This window comes from Homo sapiens, chromosome 19 (genome assembly GCF_000001405.40).
Source record: "Homo sapiens chromosome 19, GRCh38.p14 Primary Assembly".
In the NCBI taxonomy this organism is placed as follows: Eukaryota; Metazoa; Chordata; class Mammalia; order Primates; family Hominidae; genus Homo; species Homo sapiens.
Window position 1 is genome coordinate 43,385,093 of NC_000019.10, and position 25,743 is coordinate 43,410,835.

Here is a 25,743-nt window from a genome sequence, read left to right on the forward strand (position 1 = left end):
GTGATATTTGGAAATTCTGGGCTTTGAGTAAAGAGAGTGATATTCTAGACCTGCTATCATTTCACTATTACCTGAACAATTTACTTCCTCTTTCTAGCCTTCCATCTCTTCCTGCAAAATAAGGCATGGTTTTCAATCACTTCACCACACAGGAAAAGGAAATAGAAATAGAAATAAATAAAGTCCACTCCAGGAGCAGTGGCTCACGCCTGCCATCCCAACACTCTGGGAGGCCGAGGCGGGTGGATCGCTCGAGCTCAGGAGTTCCAGGCCAGCCTGGGCAACATAGAGAAACCCTGTCCCTACCAAAAATACAAAAAAGTAGCCAGGCATGGTGGTGTGCACCTGTAGTCCCAGGTACTTGGGAGGCTGAGGTGGAATGATCTCTTGAGCCTGGGAAGTGGAATTTGCAGTGAGCCAAAATTGCATCACTGCACTTCAGCCTGGATGACAGAGCAAGACCCCCTCTCAAAAAAGACAAAGAAAGAAAGAAATAGACAAAGCCCAATGCTGGCAGTGCTGTGGAACTAACATCTTAGGATTGGTGAAGAGAGTGGACATAGCACTTGTGGAAAGAGCCATATTTCCTGGGGGCCATAAGGCCACATATGCCCTGTGAAGACTGACCAGGGAGTGTTGGGCTGCTACCCACATTTCATCTATTTGTCAGGCAAAAATGCTTTAAAGATCATTCCACTTGATTTTCCTTTAAATAAAAATCATGTGGGAATGGAATGGAATTGCCGAGTGGCATGGTGGGTGTATGCTGAAATTTTTAGAAGCTGCCAGACTGCTTTCCATAGTGGTTGTACCATCTTACATTCCCACCAGCAGCGTGAGCATTCCAGTGCCTCCACATCCTTGCCAACACTTGGCGTGGTCACTCTTTTTAATCTTAGCCATTCTAATAGTTCTGTAGTGGTATCTTATTATGGTTTTATTCTGCATGTTTTTCTTGAGACAGAGCCTCATTATGTTGCCCAGGCTGGAGTACAGTGGGCCCATCATAGCTCACTTTCTCTTCAGGAAAGTCTTCCCTGATCTTTCAGTCTAGGTCAGAAGCCCAGTAATATACAGTCATGAGGCCCCATATTTATTCTTTTTGTGCTTTTTTTGAGACGGATTTTTTTTTTTTTGCACTCCAGACTGGAGTGCAATGGCACAATCTTGGCTCACTGCAAGCTCCATCTTCCAGGTTCACGCCATCCTTGTGCCTCAGCCTCCCAAATAGCTGGGATTACAGGCATGAGCCACCATACCCAGCTAATTTTTAAATTTTTGGTAGAGACAGGGTATTAGCATGTTGCCCAGGCTGGTCTCGAACTCTTGACTTCATCGGTTTCCCAAAGTGCTGAGATTACAGGCGTGAGCCACGATGCCTGGCTCAAGGTTGACTCTTTTTTCTTTTTTTTTTTTTTTTGAGATGAAGTCTCGCTCTTGTCCCCCATGCTGGAGTGCAATGGCACAATCTCGGCTCACTGCAACTTCTGCCTCCCAGGTTCAAGTGATTCTCCTGCCTCAGCCTCCCGAGTAGCTGGGATTACAGGCGACTGCCACCACGCCTGGGCAATTTTTGTATTTTTTAGTAGAGACGGGGTTTCACCATATTGGCCAGGCTGGTCTCAAACTCCTAAACTCAAGTGATCTGCCTGTCTCGGCCTTCCAAAGTGCTGGAATTAGAGGTGTGAGCCACCACGCCCGGCCTCTTTAATTTCTTAATAGGCTCTTCCAGGAGTTATTGAGAAGAATATTTTACAATTCTAAGTGGAATATTTTAGCAGGAAGGACCGTGGTTTATTTCTACGATAATTCTGTTGTGGCTTAAACAGTTTGTTCTTTTGTAATTTGGGGTATTCCCTCTACCACCTATTGTTGACTTTCGACCTTTGATATTTACCCTATGTAAATTCATCAACCCCTGATTTTACTTCTTCAAAGCCAGCATGAGGCTAGTCAAGCCTGGTTTCCTCTCACAGGAAGTCAGTCTTTGGCCCCATGGTATTTGTGTAACCAGGTTACAAGATTTAAAAATCTATCGCAAGTGACAGTAATTAAAAAAAAAAAAAAACAAATGTGGGCTACTCTGGAAGAAGAAACATTGGAATGTAGATTTTATTTGTTTAATTGCAGAGACATGAACCAGCTTATACTCGTTTGATTTCCACATTATTCATGGAGAGTCTAAAGTCAATTTCTGGGAACAAAAAACCAACTTGAAAAGCTGTTTAAATTCTATTAGTGGGACTTCCAAAGGTACAAGGGTTAAGAAAAAGAGAGGAGAAAAGAGAAAAGAGGGGTAGGGAGAAAGGAAGACGTGACAGGAATGTGAGCCAGACAATGGAGATGGAGAAAAAGCAGTCAAGAGGGACAGAGGGCGCGGTGGAGGTCTGCAGGATCTGAAGATCCACCTCTCTTCTCTGGACACTGACCTCTTACCTGATCCCAGAAACAGACTGAGCTTTAACTCTGACCACATACTCCTCAGGGTGATGGAGAGTGGGGCCACCTGCACCCTACCAGCCTTCCACAGCCCCTCTGCATGGGCTCTGCCCCGCACCCTACACGTGCTCTGAGGCCTCTTATTGCAACAAATGACTTCCTCCGGATTCCATTCCCTCCACCGCCTCTTTCTTCTCGCTCAAGCATCTTCAATGGTCTGGATACGTTTCTTTGCTTCCATTTGTCGCCTTCCACTCACTCATCCATGTCCACTTCCATCTTCCCCTTTCTCTAACATTGCTTGTACTGAGATCAGCAACATCCTGCTTTATTGCTAAACCTGCCAGGAACTCACAGGTTAGTTTTGCATCCTTTGACGCTGAGGGCCACTTCTTTTCCTGGAATAATCTCTGTGAGGCAAATATACATTTTTAAAAATTTTGTTTAGCCTGTTGCAAAAAGATAGAGACTCTCCTCTTTTCACTCAGATCATTTTCTCTTCATTCATTCATTCATTCATTCATTCATTCATTGATAGAGTCTCCCTCTGTCACCCAGGCTGGAGTGCAGTGGTGCCATCCAAGCTTACTGCAGCCTTAACCTCCTGGGCTCAGGTGATCCTCCCTCCTTAGCCTCCTGAGTAGCTGGGACTACACGCATATACCCCACTATGCCCAGCAAATTGATTATTGTTATTGTGTGTGTGGAGATAGGATCTTGCTATGTTGCCTAGGCTGGACTTTGAGAGCATTTATTTTTTAGAAGAGGTGTAATTGAAAATTCTTTCTCTGTCCCTTGAAGATGTATGTAAAGCTTTCTAAAGCATACATAAGCATCTTGCCTGCCTCACAACCCAGAACTGTCCTCCTCAAGGCCATAGGAGCCCTCTCTTTGAAAGGCAGGCATCCGGGCAGAAAGCGCCCCTGTCTCCCAGTTTCTGTGAGAAGGAAGGAACCTCAGTTCTGGGGGCATCTCACTCCCAGTTGCAAAACTACCTCCTGTCATAGATAAGAGAGGTTTGTTTTTCCTGTGGATAAAGCCAATTAACCACACAGAGAATCAACACAGTTACTGGGTGAATTTAGGATGAACTATGTGTGACAAATGGTGCCGTTGAGTCCTCTCAACTGGGAACGAGTCACCGTGTATCTGGAGACCATGTGTGTAACGGGTTGCACCTGCTTGGCTGGATACAAAGGTGGGATTTCTTTCTGTCTTTGTCATCTCTTAGCAGATTGTATCACATTTTGGCTTAATGCTTACTCAGTCATAAGACAAGTTTCTTTTACTTCTATGGATGTGAGGGGGGTTTCTGGGCTGAGCAGAAATTTGTTTCTTAATCATATTTTTCCAGCAACCCCCACCCAACCTACCCCACCTTCTCTGAAGCTACTTCCCCCAGGCTTTAAAGGCGGCTGCTCCCCGGGGTTCCTCCCGGGCCCTGCCTCTCCTGGTTCATCTGATCTCCCACCCTCGAGGCATCGTAGCTTCCCTCCCTTCCATGTGCTGATGCCTCTCGGATCTCTAACTCTAGGCAGAAACCGGCTTCTCAGTTCCTCAGCTCAAATACCCACCTTGGGACGGGCATCTGCACCAGGACTTCCCGCCGGGAACTCTCCAGGTGGAACACGGTACATATTCTCTGGCTGCAGTGCAGTTTTTAAATGCCACCAGTACACATGGGGAATGTTCTGTCTTCCCAAGGAGGAAGCCGGAAAGTTCATTTTCCCAGCACTCTTTGCAGGAGGGACACAGACACGGGTCCAGGCTTTCCCCATCAGGTGCTCCCGTGAAAGACTCAGGATCCCGAACAGCACCAGGAAGCAGAGGGTGCATGGCACCGATTTGCTTTTTGTTTTTGTTTTAATTTTTTGAGTGGGGATCGGGGACAGAAGCTTCTGGACTCCAGGGCCAGCCTCAGCAGTGCAGGGTGCAGGGTGTGGTTTCTGCCTCCTGCAGTAGCCAGAAGATCTTGACCGGAGCTGTCCTGTGCCTGTGGTTTGGTCCTTGCCCTGGGCCCTGTGGCCTCCAAGCTGGCTTCATGAGGGCCCTTGGAGCTTGGTGACCTTCCTACCCTGTCCTTTAACCAGTCCCTTTTCTGCTTCTTGCTGGAGTGAGCTGGGCGGTTTTCTCTGAATCTGTTCCTGTGCTGGGTTCTCCCTTAGGGAAGGGCACCCTGGGCACCCGACCCCTCAGCCGGATGCCTAGCAGATGTTCTCATGCTTCCACTTCCTTGCCCCTTTATGTCCAGTGGTCACTCCTTTATGTCCCTTCCATGTCCTACATCTCTCTCTGCTGTGTCCTGTCTTCTGCACCCTGTGGCCTCCACCTAAGTTTGCACCACCACCCATTCCTCCTTGAATGAATACAGTTGTCTCCCCGGGTCTCCCTGTCTCCACTGGGGCCAGCAGCATCCGAGCCAGCTTCTTCTCTGTGGCAGAGATGATCTTTTTCAGGCCTCCTCCGGCCATGGCCCTCTCCTGCTTCTGTTTCCAGAGCTCCCAAGTCCCTGGGATGTGCTCCAGCTGCTAAGAGAGGCCTCGAAGGTTGGGTGATGTGGCCTCCACTGTCCTCCTGAGCAACCACCCCACCTACCCTCATCCTTCAGCTCCATTACATTTCCTTTTTCTGTTTAATTTTTTGAATAGGTGTTGTATTTAGATGGCTCAGAAATTTGCATCCGTGTGTATCTGTGTATGTGTGCAGGCATGAAGAGCCTGTGTCTCATCCCTGTTCCCTATGCACCCAGGTCCTAGCCCCACGCCAGACCCAGTAGCCAGCTGTGCTGTTCATGACCTGCAAAGCTTTCTACAGCTGTTTTATGCAAAACAATAGGAATTATTGTAAATTATGGTAAAATATATATAACATAGAATTCACCATTTTAATGACTTTTTTCTTTTCTTCTCTTTTCTTTTCTTTTTTTTTCTTTTTTTTTTTTTTTTTTTTTTTTTGAGAAGAGTTCTCACTCTCTCACCCATGCTGGAATGCAATGGCGTGATCTCGGCTCACTGCAACCTTCACCTCCCGGGTTCAACCGATTCTCCTGCCTCAGCCTCCTGAGTAGCTGAGACTACAGGTGCATGCCACCACGCCCGGCTAATTTTTTGTAGTTTTAGCAGAGAGGGGATTTCATCATGTTAGCCAGGATTGTCTCGATCTCCTGACCTCGTGATCTGCCTGCCTCGACCTCCCAAAGTGCTGGGATTAGACGTAAGCCACCTCGCCCGGCCCATTTTAACCACTTTTAAGTGTACATCCAGTGGCAGGAGTACATTTAGGTTGTTGTTCAACGACCACCACTGTCCATCCCCACCCAGAACTTTTTCATATTCCCCAACTGGAATTCTTTACCAATTAAACACAACTCCTCTTTCCGCCTCCCTCCAGCCACTGACAACCACCTTTTCATTTTCTGTCTATGCATTTCACGACGTTAGGCACCTCTGTTAAGTGGAATCATGCAAATTTGTCTTTTTGAGTCTGATTATTTCACTTAGCAGAAAGAGCTCAAGGCTCATTCATGTTGAAGCACCATCAGAACCACCCTTCTTGTTATGGCTGAATCCCATTCATTTGTACATATAGACCACGTTTTGCTTATTCATTCACGGATGGATGGACACTGGGCTTGTTTCCAACTTCTAGCTATTGTGAATAATGCTGCTATGAACAAAGACATGCAAATATCTGCTGGGGCCCCTGCTTTCCGTTCTTTTCGGAATATACCAGAAGCCGAATTGCTGCATCTTTTGGTGAGTCTATGATTAATTTTTTGAGAAACGACCACAGTGGTTGTGCCATATTACATACCCACAAATGCTACACAAGCGTTCCAATTCCTCCTTGCCAACACTTGTTCTTTTCTGTTTTTCTTTTTTTTTTTTTTTTTTTTTTTTGAGAACAACCATCGTAATGGATGTAAGGTGGTATCTCACTGTAGTTGTGATTTTTATTTTCCTAATGATTAGTGATGTTGAGCATCTTTTCATGTGCTTATTGGCCATTTGTAAATTAATTTTACATTTCCTCCTTTGTAATGTAAGAGGTAGCACATGGTGCATTGTTCTGCTTCTTGTTTTTCTCACTATACGGTGTATCTTGGAAACCTTCCCGGGTGCACAGACAGAAGGATACCTCATTCTTTGCCACAGCTGCCCAGTATCCATGATGTGGATCATGGCTCATGACCCAGTTCTCTATGGATAAACATCAGGGTCGTTCCCGGTCTGTGGCCATCGCCAACACTGCCGTGACTAGTCTAGAATGGGTGCCATTTCATGCATTTGCAATTCCCAGAAGTACACTGGTTAGTCAGCAGGTGAGTGCATTGGTGAGAGGATGTGACTGCAGTCTCAGGAAATATGGAAACCTTCTTCCCTTTCTAGCTGCAGCACCCCCAGTCTGGACAGCATATGGAAAGCACTGAGGGGAAGCCCCACTAAGCACAGAACCCTGCTGGCCACCCAAGACCTCAATACAGATGGACAACATGAAGCCCCTGGCTTAGGGGAAAACAGAGAGACTGAGAAACACACAGAGAGAGTTGGGGCAGGGATGGAGAGAGAGAGAAAATGATAAAGACCCAGAGAGAGACAGAGTCAGAGAAATACAGGGGTGGAGAGGGGAGATACAGAGAGAGACAGAGAGCAAAGGGGACAGAGACATTAACACAGAGAGAAGGAGGGAGAGGAGAGGCATGGAGAGAGGGAGAACTCAAAGAGCCAGAGCCAGAGAAGTAGAAGGTGAGCCATAGAGAGATTCAGGGCAGGACTAGGGTGAGACAAGAGAGGACCCAGGCTTGTGGATTCTTGATTAAAAATCAATGGTGTTATAATCCAGAAAAGAGAGAGTGAGGGGAGAGAGAAAGGGCCTAGGACTAAAAATTAAGGGGTCACTTGCGCAACCCCGGATTTGGGTGTCTCCTTAGATTTTGCAGCAGAGACACCTCACTTACCTCACCCTCATCCTTGTCCTGAGACCCCCACAGGGACACAGAGACACAAGGAAAACACATAGAACCAAAAGAGCACCCAAGAGGAGGAGGAGGGACATGGAGACACCACGATAGTCAAGCTGATGGGGCCACACAAAATCAGAACAGAGACAAAGAGGGAGGCACAGAGAGACACAGAGGGAAAGAGACCCAGAAAAAGAGATGGACAGAGCTGGAGAGATACAGAGTGAGAGACAGACAGTGTGCAGGAGGAAGGACACTCATAAATACACAGAAACAGAAAGAAGAGGCTGGAGTGGTGGCTCACACCTGTAATCCCAGCATTTTGGGAGGCTGAGACGGGTGGATCATTTGAGATTAGGAGTTTGAGACCAGCCTGGCCAACATGGTGAAACCCTGTCTCTACTAAAAATACAAAAATTAGCCGGATGTGGTGGCACACACCTGTAATCCCAGTTACTCAGGAGGCTGAGGCAGGAGAGTCACTTGAACCCAGGAGGCAGAGGTTGCAGTGAGCCAAGATTGTGCCACTGCACTCCAGCCTGGGTGACAGAGTGAGACTCTGGAAAGAAAAGAAAGAAAGAAGGGAAGGAAGGAAGGAAGGAAGGAAGGAAGGAAAGAAAGAAGGAAAGACAGAAGGTACCCATTGGTAGAGAGACAAAGACAGAGACAGACAGGGAGACACAGAGATGAAAAGACACAAAGTGAGCCACAGACACACAGTGAGGAGGAGACAGAGCCAGAAACAGAGACCCAGTGTGATGGAAAGAGAGAGAGGCAGACAGACAAGAGCAGCATCTTCAGGGCGACCCAATGCCCAGTGCCCCTGAGCTGCTCCACGGGGAGGGGGCTGAGCGCACAGCCTGCATCCCATCCATCGTTTCCTGGCCTTCGTGACTGGGTGTCCATGCACAATCCAGTCCCTGTCTCTGAACCTCAGTTTCCACACTGTAAACCAGGCATAGATACACCACCTCAAGGGTGGTGGAGAGGGCTGGGCTGGCTGTTTCTGCTTAATGCACCCTCATGTTTCATAAAGGACCCCATGAACTGTGATGAGAGTCACTGTTCATTATCATGATGGCTTCCAGTACTTACAGCAGTCAGCACTAATATCATGCACATCATCAGCACTTGGCATGAATCCCCATTCATTACAGATCAGCATTAATTGAGTTGATGCTCTGTGCCCGATACTTGTACACTCATAACATGGATTGTTAATTTAATTGAGACAACCACAGTCTGAGGTCAGTGATATCACGATCATCTCCACTTTCCAGAGAGGAAGCTCTGCTGGTAAGGTGCGGAGCAGGGGTTCAAACCCAGGTGGTCTGGCTCCAGGGCCAGGTGTGCCCAGGAGCAGGGCTCTTCCTGGGTGTCCAAGGCCACCTTGTCTCCAGGAGTGTAACCGTGTTTCCAGCCACTGAAAACTTGGATTAAAGCCCAAAGTAAACTTTCCCTTTTCTGGCTTTGAGGTGTGGTGTTTAAATTCAGAGACATTCTCCAGGAAAGCAGAAACTTCTTGGCTAAAATCCAAACCTAGGGAATTTATTGCAGAGATGGGGACGTGGTTCTCATTTCTGCCCATCTCAGAGTACAGATTAATTAACTCAGAAGATTCAAAAGATTATATTTTCCATATTCCTTGCTGAACATAATATTATACCCTTTTCTCTCCAGTTTTATGCTTCTTTTTTTCTTGGTGCTAAAGAAATTGTAAACCTTTGTCTTAAAACTGGAGTCCCTTCCAACTGCTGGTGACAGAAATCCCAGCAAGATAAGAAGGAGCAAATGTCCCCGCTTCCCAGACAACTTGAGATGTAAGCAGATCCTATTCAGCATCCTACAATGTTCTTGCAAAGATTATTTCTGTCAGTGGAGCTCTGTAAAACACCCAGACTCCAGAGACCATCACTTGGTCCTGTGAAGGTACCCTCTTAGCCTTCAAATATCTGAAATTCAGATGAATTGCCTGACTTACTTTTTTTTTTTTTTTTGCAACAGAGTCTCACTCTGTCGCCCAGGCTGGAGTACAATGGCGTAATCTTGGCTCACTGCAACCTCTGCCTCCCAGGTTCAAGCGATTCTCCTGCCTCGGCCTCTGGAGTAGCTGGGACTACAAGCACGTGCCACCACACCCAGCCAATTTTTTGTATTTTTAGTAGAGACGGGGTTTCACCGTGTTAGCCAGGATGGTCTGGATCTCTTGACCTCGTGATCCGCCTGCCTCGACCTCCCAAAGTGCTGGGATTACAGGCGTGAGCCACTGCACCCGGCCTTACTTACATTTATTAATTCAATGCCCAGGACATAATGTGTAAATGGACAACTCTGTTGTCTAGAATTTATGCAAATACTTGTGATGTTTGTTTGTTTATCTGGAAAATGGCTTTTCAGGGAGGAAAAGCTTTTCCTCTACCCACTTAGGTTCAGTATCTGGGGTCTTGTGAATTTTACTAACAAAAGATCAATTTTAAAAAGGCACACAATTTTCATTAATATTTACATGCATGGGAGTTCACAGAAAAGAAGTGAAACTCAAAGAAATGGTTAGACTTGTGGGGCTTGTATACCATTTTAACAAAGGAAAGGGGTTTGTTCTTCAAGGGAAGGTCCATCATGGGGAAGTGACCTAGAAATGCCTGGGAAACTGATGGAGATGCAGGGTCTTTTAGTGAGGTCTGTCTATGCACACTCATCTCAGTCTCCAGGATGAGCTGCCTTTCTTTATCATCTGGGTAGAAAACACCTTCAGAAAAGGAAATTTATGCTCTCTGCTTTTAGGTAGATAAGGGGAGGGCAGACCTCTTCCCGTATCTGTTGATTCTCAAAGGCCTTAAGCTCAAAATAATCCTTATACAAATGTGGCGAATTTTGGGGTGACTTAACTTGATCCCTTTCAGGCCACTGATGAGTCCATCTTTCCCCACCCAGGTGGAGGTAAGAAAAACCTGTGATGTGGCTGCATGGATTTCTTATTTAAATTTAGAGTGTCACTAACAACCATTTATCAATTCATTGGGCACTCCCTGAGCCCCTGCTCTGTGCCAAGCCCTATGCTGAATGATACTGAGACCCCAAAATGAATGAGACCCATCCATGCTCTCAAGGACCTCCCATTCCCAGGAACGGCACAGACAGGACAGGGTGCTCAGACCCATAAGAGGGTGTGGTGACTCTGAACTCAGGTAGGCTGAACGACGCCTCTCAGAACTCCCTTCCCTGTAGGTTCCTGTTAGGTTGGGAGCAGGACACACCTGCCCAAAGCAGCTGCCGTTGTGCATTTCATGCTGGGGAAATCCAGGCAGGAGCCTCCGTGGCTCAGGTCCAGGTGTTGCTCATCTGCTAGCTCAGCTGGTCAGCCTGGAGCAGCAGCAGGACCTGAAACTGCTCCACCTTTACGCCAATCCTCCTTCAGCTTCTCCACCTCCTGAGCCAGGTGTGCATTGAGCTCTGTGACAAAGTTCACTCCTGCAGGTCCCCTGCACCACCAAGATGAGGCAGCAAGAACAGAGGTAGGTTCTGTGGGTCCCGAAACCTTCCACCTTGTGTAAACTCCCGGCCTGCCCTTACTCCCCACTTTCCATCCATCTCCCCTTCCCCAGGGCCTGCCCTGCAGACTTGGAGCTCAGGTCAGATGCAGAGCCCACAGCCTCACAGGCTTCCATCAGCCAGAAATGGGATCCTGACAGATTCCACCAGCACCAAGTGGAGAGATATTTAGGTATTTAGGGGTCTGAGTGAGGGGCAAACTGGCCTGCCTGGGGCGGCAGGGAAGGTTTCCTAGAGGAATTCCTGCTATTCCTCATTGCGCTTCCAAATTTTAGTCGTGTTCCACTTTTACGATCTGAATAGCCCTTGCACTATTATTTACTCAAAAATTTTCCTTAAAACAACTCACTGTTTTTCTGTAGCCTCATCTTAAAACAATAATGTTTATCTAATCATGGGATTAATATGATATTTCCAATTCTTTTACTCTAATAGGCGCTTAATCACAAGCATAGCCTGTAACGCTTTTTAACAACTGTCATGTGTAACCCCTTAGAATCATCTCACATGCCTTCCACCACTGACACCTGAACCCTATTTTGGGAACCACTCCTTTAGGTGCATCCTGAAGGAGGAACAGAGGTTTACATGGAACCAAATGGAGGAAGGGAGTTTTGTGCTGAGAGAGCAGGTTAAGGAGTTTCCTAGAAGATGTGACAGAAGCTGCATTAGTTATCCATTGTTGTCTAGCAAATTACCGCACGGCTTCGGGGCTTAAAACAGCAACAGATATTTGTTACCTCTCAAATTCTGTGGGGCAGGAATTGAAGAGTGTTTTCAGCATTTTTTTTTTTTTTTTTTTTTTTTTTTTGAGACGGAGTCTCGCTCTGTCGCCCAGGCTGGAGTGCAGTGGCATGATCTCCACTCACTGCACGTTCCGCCTTCCGGGTTCAGGGCATTCTCCTGCCTCAGCCTCCTGAGTAGCTGGGACTACAGGCACCCGCCACCACACCCGGCTAATTGTTTGTATTTTTAGTAGAGACGGGGTTTCACCATGTTAGCCAGGATGGTCTCAGTCTCCTGACCTCGTGATCCACCCATCTCAGCCTCCCAAAGTGCTGGGATTACAGGCATGAGCCACCGCACCCAGCCTGTTTTCAGCTTTTTATTATGAAGCTGGGTGATTGTGACTTGGTGAGTCTCATGAGGTTGGAGTGAAGACGCTAGCCAGGTGCAGTCATCTGCAGCTTTACTGGGCCTGAAGGGTCTGCTTTCTAGAAAGGTCACTCACATGGCTGACAATGTGGTGCTGGCTAGTTCCTACCTCAGGGCCTTTGCACTTGCTGTCCTGTGCCTGGGGTGTCTTTCATCTACTCTTTGTATAACTGGACCCATCCCATCCTTGATGTCTTTGCACCAATGCCACCATCCATGACCTCTGATGCCACCAAGTTACTTTCTTACACATCATCCTTTGTTTTCAACTTTTTAATATGAAAGATTTCAAACATCCAGAAAAATTGAAAACATAATACCAAGAATACCCACATCCTCTCCTTATATTCAAGTTTAACATTTTGCCATATTTCCTCTGGTTTTTTTCTGAACCATGTCAGGGTAAATTGCAGACATCAAGACACTGTGTCCTTGAGTACTTTAGCATGCCTCTCCCCAGAATGACTAGCCCACAATACCGTGATCACGCCTGAGAAAATCAACAATAACTCCCTAACAGTATCTAATACATAGTCCATTTTCAATCTTCACCATTGTTCTGCAAAATATCTTTTCCATGTATATATATTTTTATATATTTATATTATATAAATATAAATATATAAAAATATATATTTTATATAAATATATAATATATATAAATATATAATATATAAAAATATATATTATATATAAATATATAATATATAAAAATATATATTATATATAAATATATAATATATAAAAATATATATTATATATAAATATATAATATATAAAAATATATATTATATATAAATATATAATATATAAAAATATATATTATATATAAATATATAATATATAAAAATATATATTATATATAAATATATAATATATAAAAATATATATTATATATAAATATATAATATATAAAAATATATATTATATATAAATATATAATATATAAAAATATATATTATATATAAATATATAATATATAAAAATATATATTATATATAAATATATAATATATAAATATGTATAACATATAATATATAAAATATATAATATATATAATATATATAAAAATATATATTTATATATACTTTTTTTTGAGACAGAGTCTCGCTCTGTTGCCAGGCTGGAGTGCAGTGGCGCCATCTTCGCTCACTGCAACCTCCACCTCCTGGATTCAAGTGATTCTCCTACCTCAGCATCCTGAGTAGCTGAGACTACAGGCATGCACCACCACGCCCAGCTAATTTTTGTATTTTTAGTAGAGACAGGGTTTCACCATGTTGGCCAGGATGGTCTCGATCTCTCGACCTCATGATCTACCTAAATGCTGGGATTATAGGCGTGAGCCATCATGCCCAGCCCCATGTATATTTTTAAACGGGGATACAATCAAGACTAATGCTTTGTATTTGGTTATTAAGTATCTTTCATTCTACAACAGTCCCCCTCCACTACCCATTTTTTTCATGACTGCTAAAGAAAAGACAGAAGGCCCAAAGTGGAGTCAACTTATGCTAAAGTTGCACATCATCAAACTGAAACCTGCGTTGTTTACTAGTAAGATACGTCCTTCCAGAAATCATGAGAGAGATTATAGCCAAATCCCATTAAGCCAACAAGATTTTGCTAAAATCCCTATAAAGGGAAGTAACTTTGAGATGACAGATTGGCTATTTTTTCCTTGTTCCTGCTTTCTTTGGCTTTTTTCTGCCCATAAAACTCACCAAATCCCTTTAGCTCAATAGCGCTCCATTCTGTTTTATAGATTGAATGCCGCCTAGTTCATGAATTGCTAATAAAAGCCAATTCGATATTTTACTCTATTTGCTGAAATTTTGTTCTTTGACATGACATAGACTGTGAGGAGAGCAGACATGTTGTCTTATAGAATGCCCACATTCTGAATTTGTTTCCTTATGGTGTCATTTCACTGACTTCACTCTAAGCCCTCTATTCTCTATAAATCTCAAAGTGAATCCCAAAGCTTGAGTAAATTCTGGTTGCATTTTTTTTAGGCAAGAATACTTCATGAGTGATGCTATCTACATTATATTGGATTATATCAAGTTGCAATAGTTATATAGCTATTATTCCTGTGTGATATTTCAGTGACTTAAAGATTGATCCATGGGTTCAGGTGTTGTCAGCCTGATTCGTGTGTTGTCAAGTTGCCCATCAACTTTTTGCTTGATGGTTTTAGAATGATCTAGGCAATGATGATGATCATTGCCTAGATCAGTCATTTCATTAAGCATTCCAAAATGGCAATTATCTAATTTTTAAATTCCTCCTGCATTTTTAAAAGCTAGACTTATTTTTCTCTAATGAAGAAAACTTCCTCACTCGTGATTTGGTTACCTTGAAGTGTTGTCTGTTTAGGAAGTTACTGTGATACTTGATTATTTTCCTTCATATACTAGCTTTGTGAGCTAGTTCCCTAGCAACCTCCAAAGTAAACTGATGACATTTTAAAAGTATTATTATGAAATATAGATTTTTGTATATTTTAAGTGTTTCAATCCATTGCATCCACACTTTCTTTTGATGCTCGAAATGTCCCACCTTTGTTTGAAACAGCCCCTCCAAGTTGGCTCCTATGTCCTATTTTTTTTTTTTTTTTTTTTTAAAGACGAAGTTTCACTCTTGTCAGCCAGGCTGGAGTGCTGGAGTGCAATGGTATGATCTCAGGTCACACAACCTCCACCTCCCAGGTTCAAGCAATTCTCCTGCCTCAGCCTCCTGAGTAGCTGGGATTACAGGTACAAGCCACCATACCCAGCAAATTTTTGCATTTTTAGTAAAGACAGGGTTTCACCATGTTGGCCAGGCTGGTCTCGAACTCCTGACCTCAGGTGATCTACCCGCCTCAGCCTCCCAAAGTGCTGGGATTACAGGCGTGAGCCACCAAGCCCGGCCTCCTATGTCCTCTTGACATGACCCTTGTAGTATATGATAATTTCCTGCTTTGGCATGGAAAATATCCCAGGCTCATCTTACATAATTCTTACTTCATATCTGAAATCAGGCATGTCTCCAAGGAGTCTTGGAGAAGATTCATTTTTGTGGGGAGTGGTATTTTTAGAGACTACAATTTAAATACTAAGGGTGCTGTTTGCTACTGTTAGCAGATACAGCTAGAAAAAGACATACTTTTTAGAAAAAGAAATGCTTTTCCTGAGTTCACACTAGTATTTCCCATGCAAATGAAAGATTCTTGGGTTTTCGTTTAAATGCATTGGTTTCATATTTGTATCTCTTTTCTCTGGCCCTGATGCATAATTACTTATTTGCTATTTGTTTCAAAATAGTCATGCAGCTGTTTGCACTAAGAATAACAGTACTGAATGCAGTTTAGATTTCTTTCATTTATTTCAATCAGCAAGATCTATCTCACTAGAGTTGTCCAGTCATTGTACACAGGTAAAGTAGCTGGAAATAATTTTCCTCTGTGTTACTATGCCACCAGCTTTCCACCCAGATTCATTTCCACCAGTTTAGTTTTCACTTTTAGAGATGGCTTAGCTCTTGTGTTTTAAATTTTATTTTGTTTTTAATAAGGTAAAATATTTACCTGGTTACACAATCAAACTATTAAGCAAAAGGCTTAATGGTTTATGTTCCATCTCAGGCCCCTTTTTTTCCCTCCCTCCTCCTATAGGTGAATCAGTTTGGTTTTGTTGTTTATTCTTCCACTGCTTCTTTCAAAAAGCATAGGCAAATATGTTTTTTTAAATATTTTAAAAGTTTATTTGTCTTTTAACTAGCCCACAGACCCAATTCTTTGAGGGCTGAGCTGATTTCTGACACATGTTCTATAGGCCCTCCTCTTGGAAACTTACTTTCTATCCCCTTCCAAAAAAGTCTGCACCTTCCATCATGATGCACATTTTAAGTTAAAATTGCCAATCCAAGCCTCAAAATGCAAGTTTATTGAATAAAGCTGAGAAGAGCAGTAAACAGACAAAAAAATGCATCCACCTAAATAAAAAAATTCACATATTTACATAATTCAGTAACTGTTAAAAGTTTTCACACACAGAGGTTAATGCACAGGAAAATGCTGGTAATAGCATCTAGGTGTCTTGAAACGCTGAAAGCAATGTATAGACACACAAACACATTAAGGTTTAGGTATAGGTCAATTAACAAACCTATACAGTCCTCACAGAGTCACACACTCTAGTTCCAATTCCTCCTTTTAGGCACAAGCAAGTTGTCACATTCTTTGTAATGGTTCACTTTGACCATTAATGGTATTGAACAACAGCAGCAAGTTTAAATACCCTTTCATTTACAGAACCATCCATCCCATCAGGGAAATATGCAACATGCTTCAAAGAATAAGAAGAGAACTTTGGGCCAGGTGCGTGGCTGAGGGCCGGGAGTGGTGGCTTGCGCCTATAATCCCAGAATTTTGGGAGGCCAAGGCAGGCAGATCTGAGGTTGGGAGTTCGAGACCAACCTGACCAACATGGAGAAACTCTGTCTCTACTAAAAATACAAAATCAGCCGGGTGTGGTAGCAAATGCCTGTAATCCCAGCTACTCAGGAGGCTGAGGCAGGAGAATAGCTTGAACCCGGGAGGCGGTAAGCTGGAGATTGTGCCATTGCACTCCAGCCTGGGCAACAACAGCAAAACTCTGTCTCAAAAAAAAAAAAGAGAAAACTTAAAAGCCCAGATTCTACTCATAAAAATACGAATGGAGAAAAGCAAGTAGTGTCTGTGCAACACAGTGCAGTATATTGTACAGAATATTTTTAAGGCCACGGCAGTCTATGAATTAAAACTGGTATTCATTAAAAGAACTTACTGTAGACTAAACTCTGAGTGCTCAACACGTTTGGAAATGCAGTCTACATAAGTGCTGCTTAACAAAAGAAAAAATCACACGCAGTGTGAGGCAACACATAAGCGGGTGTCCCATAGTGTTTAAGCTACTACAGTGGTCTATATGAATAATAATTTACAACTGAACCAGTATGAATATGTCCCTTTATGTATACAGAAGTCACTAAACTACAAAACATGTTCATTTGAAGTTTTTAGACATCTCTGTATCATAGAAGCAAACGAACAGCATCAGTTCCTCAGTTCTCTGTGTGATTGATTATTAACCTGTAGATGTTGAACATGATTACATTAGATTAAGCAGGCAGGTCTAGAGTTGTCACAATAATCAAGATGTCTAATGGCACCAGTCAAAAGAGTGCCAAACCTTACATCAATAAAAGAGAAAAATAAAATTTTGTATTTGTTTATAAGTATCTTTTGTGCTGAAAGTCAACTTTATGGCTGGATGTAAAAAGTCGGGAATTACAGTGTCATGCAGCAGCACTGGTTTAATGACTGGAGATAGAACAAACAGATGTTTGAACTAAATCTGACTTTTTTTTTTTTTTGAGATGGAGTCTCACTCTGTCGCCCAGGCTGGACTACAGTGGCACAATCTCGGTTCACTGCAAGCTCCGCCTCCTGGGTTCACGCCATTCTCCTGCCTCAGCCTCCTGAGTAGCTGGGACTACAGGCGCCCGCCACCACAGCCGGCTAATTTTTTTGTATTTTTTAGTAGAGACGGGGTTTCACCGTGTTAGCCAGGATGGTCTCGATCTCCTGACCTCGTGATCCGCCTGCCTTGGCCTCCCAAAGTGCTGGGATTACAGGTATGAGCCACCGCGTCCAGCCTAAATCTGACATTCTTAACAGTTTTTATTATATTGGGTGGAATGCTCTAAATTCATGAAAGCTTTTGAGAAAATCTTCAATTCTTAACCCCTTAAAAAAGTATGCTGAACCAGAAAGAAAAAACAAAAGATAGAAATAATGATCTGGACAGATGCAAAACAGCATGCGTTAGTTCCTCCCATATCCCAACTGCCATCTGGCGATAAAGAGTTCTCAGAAAGCAGAATGTCTTTAATATCCCTCAGGTAGGATCTCACCAGTGTAAAGAATCAACATTGATCTGGTGCCTCCACTCACTCTCTGTGGACCGTATTGGATTCCTAAGATGTAATTATACATTTCACATGCATTTGTGAGATAAGATAAACATTATGTTTACATATATCCCACCTGAGTCATTCAGGCTTAAAGGTTTTCTAAATACTGTGTGCGGCACTAGAAACTTCATGCTGTATCAGTGAATTATCACAAGGACAGAAAACCAAACACCACATGTTCTCACTCATAGGTGGGAATTGAACAATGAGAACACTTGGACACCGGGGCCTGTCTTGGAGTTGGGGGCTGGGGGAGGGATAGCATTAGGAGAAATACCTAATGTAAATGACAAGCTCATGGGTGCAGCAAACCAGCATGGCACATGTATACCTATGTATCAAACCTGCACGTTGTGCACATGTACCCTAGAACTTAAAGTATAATAATAATTTAAAAAAGGAAATACCAATATTATTAGCCTTTAACCCTAATTCAGAATAAACTAAATGTTCTAATTGATTTTAAAAAAAAAAAGGAAAAAGAAAAAGAAACTTCATGCTGTATCAAGTCAATGTCAGTATTAAGCTACTGGACTCTATGAAATATTATAGATAGACATTTACTGAAAACCAATATAAAAATCTGGCCCACAAAGACCAGAATGGAAATATCCAATTTTCTTGATTTAAGATGGTCAAAACCATCCTGGCTAACACAATGAAACCCTGTCTCTACTAAAAATGCAAAAAATTAGCCGGGCATGGTGGCGGGCACCTGTAGTCCCAGCTACTCGGGAGGCTGAGGCAGGAGAATGGCATGAAGCCAGGAGGTGGAGCGTGCAGTGAGCCAAGATCACGCCACTGCACTCCAGCCTGGGCAACAGAGTGAGACTCTGGCTCAAAAAAAAAAAGATGGTCAAAAGTGTGTGGGTTTTTTTTTTTTTTTTTGGAAAAAAAAAAAGCTCTACACATGATTTAAGACAGGTATGTGTAAGAAGCCTTTTTGTGTGTGCTGGCTTTATCACGACAACTCTGGCTGATTCTTTATGAAGGATTAGGGATACTCATCTTCAGCAGTGCACGTGAGAAGTAAACTCTGAAAAAGGCAATTTCTTGGGTTTAGGAAGGACTGTATTCTGGGAATTACTTCAGAGGAATGGGCAATAATTCTAGGATTATACCCAAGAAGGACTGGAAGCCTTCAGGAGATGCTTCAGCTTCTTCTAGATTTTGAATGCTCAATAAGCCACTGAAATGTGATATCTATATTATATTACATATGTTTATGTATTAGCATTTCACCCCTCTTTGGAAAGGGATAGCATTTTAATATATAATATACTACAATTTGTTTGTTATCTTCCAACCTTTTATTTTGAAAGTTTTCAAGCCCATAGAAAAGGTGGAAGAATTGTACAATGAACCCCTTATATATTTCACCAAGATTCACCAATTGTTAACATTTTGCCACATTTGCTTGATTGATTTTTTAATTTTTTTCTATCAATCTAGATACATGTGTATGTATGTGTGTGCGTGTATCCTAATTATTTGCCTGTGTATACACAGAAAGAAAGAATGAAAAATATACATAATAATAAATTATATATATGTTAGGTGAATATATAAATATATATATACTTAAGTTGTGTGCACTTTACTCTGTTTTTTATGTCATAATTTAAAATTTTAAAATATATAAGAAATAAATAAGCCTGAAACAAAGGTATTTTCAGCAAAATAAAAATAGAGACACTTCATCAACAGCTGATTCCCACTGAGACATATATTTCAGAAAGGAGAGAACTGATCACAGATAGAAGGTATGGGACGCAAAAAGTAATGAAGAGAAAAGAAAGTGGCAAATACACGTTAAAATGTAAATGTACTTGGTATAAATAGTGCTAATGATATCTAGTGGGATTATACAAAGATACACTAAAAATTCCCTGCAAGGTTAGTTAGTATGTAATTCAGGGTGAGTAGGCAAATTGGTGAAGCTAAGTAAATCTAAGGTCATTTTATTATTCAGGAAAAAGGCAAAGGTTTAAATTGACTTTAGACTTTGATAAATGAATTATGCGTGCTGGAATTTCTAGCCTATTTCCCAAACAAAGATTATCAGAGTGGATTAGGAAGGCAAGATCTGGCCTGGTGTGGTGGCTCACACCTGTAATCCCAGCACTTTGGGGGGCCGAGGTGGGTGGATCACCTGAGGTCAGGAGTTGTCTACCAGCCTGGCCAACATAGTGAATATAATGAAACCCCATCTCTACTAAAAATACAAAAATTAGCCTGGCGAGGTGGCACATCTCTGTAATCCCAGGTACTTGGGAGCCTGAGGCAGGCTTGAACCTGGGAGGCAGAAGTTGCAGTGAGCCAAGACCATGACAAGAACAAAACTCTGTCTCAAAAAAAAAAAAAAAAAAAAAAAAAAGAGGCAAAGACAAAGACAAGATCCAATAATAAATTATTTATTTAAAAACACATCTAAAATGGAAGGAGGTTGGGTGCGGTGACTCACGCCTGTAATCCCAGCATTTTGGGAGGCCAAGGCAGGTGGATCACTGGAAGTCAGGAGTTTGAGACCAGCCTGACCAACATGGTGAAACCCCGTCTCTAGAAAAATTAGCTGGGCGTGGTGGCATGTGCTGTAATCCCAGCTATTCGGGAGACTGAGGCAGGAGAACTGCTTGAACCCAGGAGGCGGAGGTTGCAGTGAGCTGAGATCGTGCCAGTGCAATCCAGCCTGGGGGACCCAGCAAGACTCCATCTCAAAAAAATACGATAAAATAAAATGGAAGGATACACAATTGTTGACTATAAAAGGATGGGAAAAGATATTTCATGTAATAAGAAAGCCAGCATATAAGAGGCAGGAGGATCACTTGAGGCCAGGAGTTTGAGACCAGCCCGGACAACATAAGGAGACCCTGTCTCTACAAAAAAAAAAAAAAAAAAAAGCCAGATGCCTGGCTCACGCCTGTAATCCTAGCACTTTGGGAGGCACCTTGGGACTGTTGAATTAAAACAAAACACAGCTTAGGCTGCTGTGGGTATTGACGACTTGTGATTTCTGTGCAGGGCACTGAATGTCAAAGTGAAGGAATTCAATGAAGCCCGGATCAAGGGCAGGAGCAACCGTGACCCTCTTAAAAGAGCCAATGCCCCATGTAATTAGTGACGCGCGCGAATGGATAGACGCTATTCCCACCGTCCCTACATAGCATCCAGCGACACCACAGCCAAGGGACAGGCTTGGCGGAACCTGCGGGAGAGAAGAACCCTCTGAGCCTGATTGAAAGGCGGTGAAGAGACAGGAGAGGGGGATCGGTGGGCGGTCCCGCCTCCATCTTCAGTTCCCGCATGGGGGCGAGGCAGGTACATGGGCCTTGCGGGCTGTGGGTGAAATTCCATTATTAATTGTTTTTTCACTAACCTGGTGGGGGAGTCGGGCGCGAGTTTCGAGAGAGACTCTGGCTTCTGGCGCCAAGCCTTAGCCAAGCTCACCAGGGGCAGCGCTAGATGGGGAGACTGGGACACACGTCTGAACGCAGATGTCCGAAGGGAGCGCAGGAAGACAGAAGCCTCCCGTTGGGCAGGAGGGCAAAAGCTCCTGGGTCTTGGATTTGCAACAGGAGTTCAGACGGTGAAAGCAGGGCCTCAGGATCCTTCTGACCTTTTGAGTTTTAAACAAGGGGTGTCAGAAAAGTCGTCACAGGGATAACTGATTTGCAGCAGGAAAGCATTCATAGGAATGAGGCTTCTTTTTGTTTTTTGTCTTTGTTTTTTGTTTTTTTTTTTTTTTTTGACAGGGTCTCATTCTGTGGCACAGGCTGGAGTGCAGTGGTGCCACCATTGCTCACTGCGCTATGTGAGCTATGTGATCGGCGCTTAAGTGATACTCTCGCCTCAGCCTCCAAAATAAATGGGACCGCAGGCCTGAGCCACCATGTCCTGTGGCTTTTTAATCCTTTTGATCCTTGGATGTGGGCTCTTCCTATCATTGGAAGACAGAATTCACCAAGGTTGGGATGTTCACCCACTCAGAAAACCTGAGCTGGGGCTGGGGCTGTGGCTCACGCCTATAATCCCAGCACTTTGGTAGGCCAAGGCGGGCGAATCACCTGAGGTTGGAAGTTCGAGGCCAGCCTGGCCAACATGGTGAAACCCCCATCTCTACTGAAAATACAAAAATTAGCCGGGCGTGGTGGCGCATGCCTGTAATCCCAGCTACTCGGGAGGCTGAGGCAGGAGAATCACTTGAACCAGGGAGGCAGAGGTTGCAGTGAGCTGAGACGGTGTCACTGCACTCCAGCCTGGGCAACAAGAGCGAAACTTCGTCAAAAAAAAAAAAAAGGAAGAAAGAAGAAAAGGAAAGAAAAGAAAGCCGGAGCTGGGATTAGACCATGTGAGACAGGTTGATTTCACGCTAGTGAGCATGCGTGGTTGCCATGGTGCTCTTGCCCAGTACCACAGGTCCCCAGGTTCAGACGTTTGGTGCCTGTGCTTGGATGAGGGACCACTGGGCTAAGCTGCCATCCGTGGGATGCTGACTAAAGGCCTCCAAGTCAGAATATGCCCAGGCAGAACTATAGGGCAGCGCCATGAAGCCTCGGCTGGCCTGGGATAGCCGGTCGTCGCCAACAGGACGCAGTGCAGCAGGGTTGAGGCCCCATGCGGAGAGCTCATTGTCTTGGGAAACCGGCAGTGGGAAGGGTGGCCGGCCCCTCGCCCTTCACGCAAGGCCCATTCGTGGGGAACCTGGCGCTAAACCATCCCTAGAGGAGCTGCTTCTGGGTCCGAGTTTTCTCTGCAGCAGAGTGGCTCCCTGGATGGGATCTGTTGAAAGTTAGCCCTCCACACAGGCGTGTGTCCGCTTCGCAGCGTGTGTGCAGAGCCATCAATCCTTCCTTCCTCAATCCCGGGGGTCTCCCGCGTCCCCATACCCCCACCCCGGCCTCTGGTATGGGAACCAGTGACGTCTCTCCCGTGAGCCTGCCCGAGCCCGCAATGCCCTCAGGAGGCGCCCGCCCCGCCCTCTGGGCTTTCCGAGGGCTGCAAGGAACATGCGCTTCCGGGGGTGGAGAGGCGGTGAGGGCCGCCCCCGCAGCGTCCTGTTTGGGAGCCAGGTCTTCTCCTCGTTCTGCCCGGGCTCGACCAGGGGCTAGATCGGGGTTCGGGGAGCGAACAAGGCACGTCGGAGGGTGGCCCGGTGGCCCCTATTCGAGGGGTGGCTGTGGGCCAGGAGGTAGCGGTGGCGGCGGCCTCGCCTGTGGCCATCTGAGCCGTGGGCCGGTAGGCGGGGAGGAGAAGAGGGTCCGGCCGGTCACCGCCCTTGCACGCCTCCTCCTCTTAAAAATAAATAAATAAATAAATGGCGAGTTGGGGGTGGACAGGGATGTTTTAGTGCTGTGCGTGCGTTCTGGAGCCACACCACCCTCTAGAACCAGGGCCACAACCACCCGTGACGCCCACCGTGAGAAGTGCCCTCTCCCAGAAGGGCCTGCACCAGAGACCTTGGTCTTTGTTCTTTTTGGAGAGATCTGTGCAGATCGAGGTCACTCCAGCCCTGGATTCAGGGAGGGCTGCACTATCAGAGAAAGACAGCTTCAGCGAGGCCTCACAGTGAGTCAGACCAGACTCTTCCCATCCCCAAGATCCCTGGACTATGGGGCATCATCCTGGGATCCCTAAGGTCACATGGGAAACTTCTCAAGCACCGATGCTGCCATCTGATACTGTGGCCTGATCCCACCCCTGGACACCTGGAAATTCTCATGAACCCGTGGAGGCCTGGTGCTACCTGAAACTGTGACCTCATTCTACTTCCAACTCACAAGTTGAAGCGTAGATTTACATGCAGTCAAATCAATAATTAGATTAATTGGCTGACTAAAGGAAAAACTTCAGACACGTTAAATTTAACACAGTTTAATTGAGTAATGAATGATGCATTAATCAGGTAGCCCCCAGACCCAGAGTAGGTTCAGAGAAACTTCAGGGTGTTCCGTCCATAAATGGTTGGATAACATCTACCGCAGAAGAAAGTGATGTAGAAGAAACTAAGGAAGGCACTGAAATAGCTGGACTGCTAACAGTTGGGTGCTTGCCTTATTTGAACCAGGTTTGAACAGTTAGTTGGGTACCTGTGATTGGCTGAGACTCAGCTATTTTTACTATAGCAGGTTACAGACTGTTTACACATCAAGTTAGGTTACAGTTCACTATGTATGGAGAAACCATTAGACCAAACTTAAAGTAGTAGGGAGGCAGCTTTAGACCTAACAATGTTAACAGGCCAAACATTTCAATTAAGGGGTACAGATTGGTCAAATTGCATAAAAAAGCAATACCCATATATACTGTCTACAAGGGAAATATTTTACATATAGGGAAAAGCATTATTGAAAGTGTGAGTATTGAAAAAGATATACCATGCAAACAGTAAGCACAAGAAAGTTGAAGTACTAGTAAAAAAAAAAAAAGAAAGAAAGAAAATAGAATTCAAAACAGAAGGTAAAAGAGACTGAAGCAGGAGAATTGCTTGAACCTGGGAGGCGAAGGTTGCAGTGAGCCAAGATTGCACCATTGCACTCCAGCTCTGGGTGACAGAGCAAGACTCCATCTCTGTGGAAAAAAAAGAAAAGGAGAAACAAATGTGAGTGTAAGCAAGGCGAGTGTTTCCTCTATGATTAGTAATTAGCAGTCTTCAAAAAGACATTCTGTGGCTTGGGGTTTAATAGTAAAATAATTAGCTGGCATGGTGACATGTTCCTGTACTCCCACCCAAGAGGCTGAAGTGGGAGGATTGTTTGAGCCCAGGAGTTTGAGGCTGCAGTGAGCTGTGATTGCACCACTGTACTCCAGCCTGGACAAGATTGAGAGAGATCCTGTCTCAAAAAAAAAATAAGTAAAACTGGTGGTTTAACCTCAAGGCTTACAACTCATTGTTTTGTAAGGTTTGCAGAAGATCTCAATCCTTTACAAGTAGGAAGGAAAAGCCTGTTGGTTTGAGAGGGAACTGGGTGTGTGCATAGGCCTGTTGGTAGGAGAACTGGAGCACTCAAAAAGGGAGCTGCACGATGCTTATGCCGGCTTCACTGAGGGCTGTGGGCATTGGAGGAATGGGCTTTGAAGGACAATTAGGAGTTTGTGGGGTAAACAAATGCATGGGGGAAGCGGATTAGGGAGAGGTCTCCCATGCAGAGGGACCAGTGTGAGCAAAGCCAAAGAGGCTGGAAGAGACTAGGGATGTCCTGGGAATAGATATTAGACAGGGAATGATAAGGGTGAGGCATGGGGGCTGGTCTCCAAGACCAGTGTGGGAGGTTGGAATTTTCCCCCAGGAATACAGGAAGCATGGAAAAAATTCTGAGGATGGAATACGGAGGGCCTGAGGTATGTGGTGGCTCACTGTTGTGTGTTTCTCATTTCTGGATCTAAGAGACATTCTTTAATCCAGCAAATGTTTACTTACCTACACTGTAATCATATGCTGAGTACACAGAGATGGATCAGACACAGCTGGAAGGAACCAGATACACACATGCCCATGCACACATGCACACTGACATGTACACCGAGACACACACATCAGACACACATTCACACACAGCACACAGATACACACAGACATACATATATACAGACATGTGCACACACAAACATGCATGCACTCACAGTCACACATGAAC

General features: G+C 44.3%; 1 protein-coding gene and 1 pseudogene across 1 annotated transcript in view; both read left to right on the forward strand.

Moving 5' to 3' along the window:
- Positions 1 to 3,518: 3,518 nt before the first annotated feature.
- Positions 3,519 to 25,743, forward strand: part of TEX101 (testis expressed 101) — a 29,987-nt gene continuing 7,762 nt past the window's right edge. The window contains exons 1-4 of the mRNA NM_031451.5: positions 3,519 to 3,637; positions 16,404 to 16,469; positions 17,674 to 17,767; positions 21,131 to 21,427. Coding sequence (NP_113639.4) covers positions 21,413 to 21,427 — 15 coding nt within the window. The 5' untranslated portion in view covers positions 3,519 to 3,637; positions 16,404 to 16,469; positions 17,674 to 17,767; positions 21,131 to 21,412. The remainder of the gene's footprint in view (positions 3,638 to 16,403; positions 16,470 to 17,673; positions 17,768 to 21,130; positions 21,428 to 25,743) is intronic.
- LOC110467528 (RNA, 28S ribosomal pseudogene) lies at positions 20,876 to 22,920 on the forward strand (annotated as a pseudogene).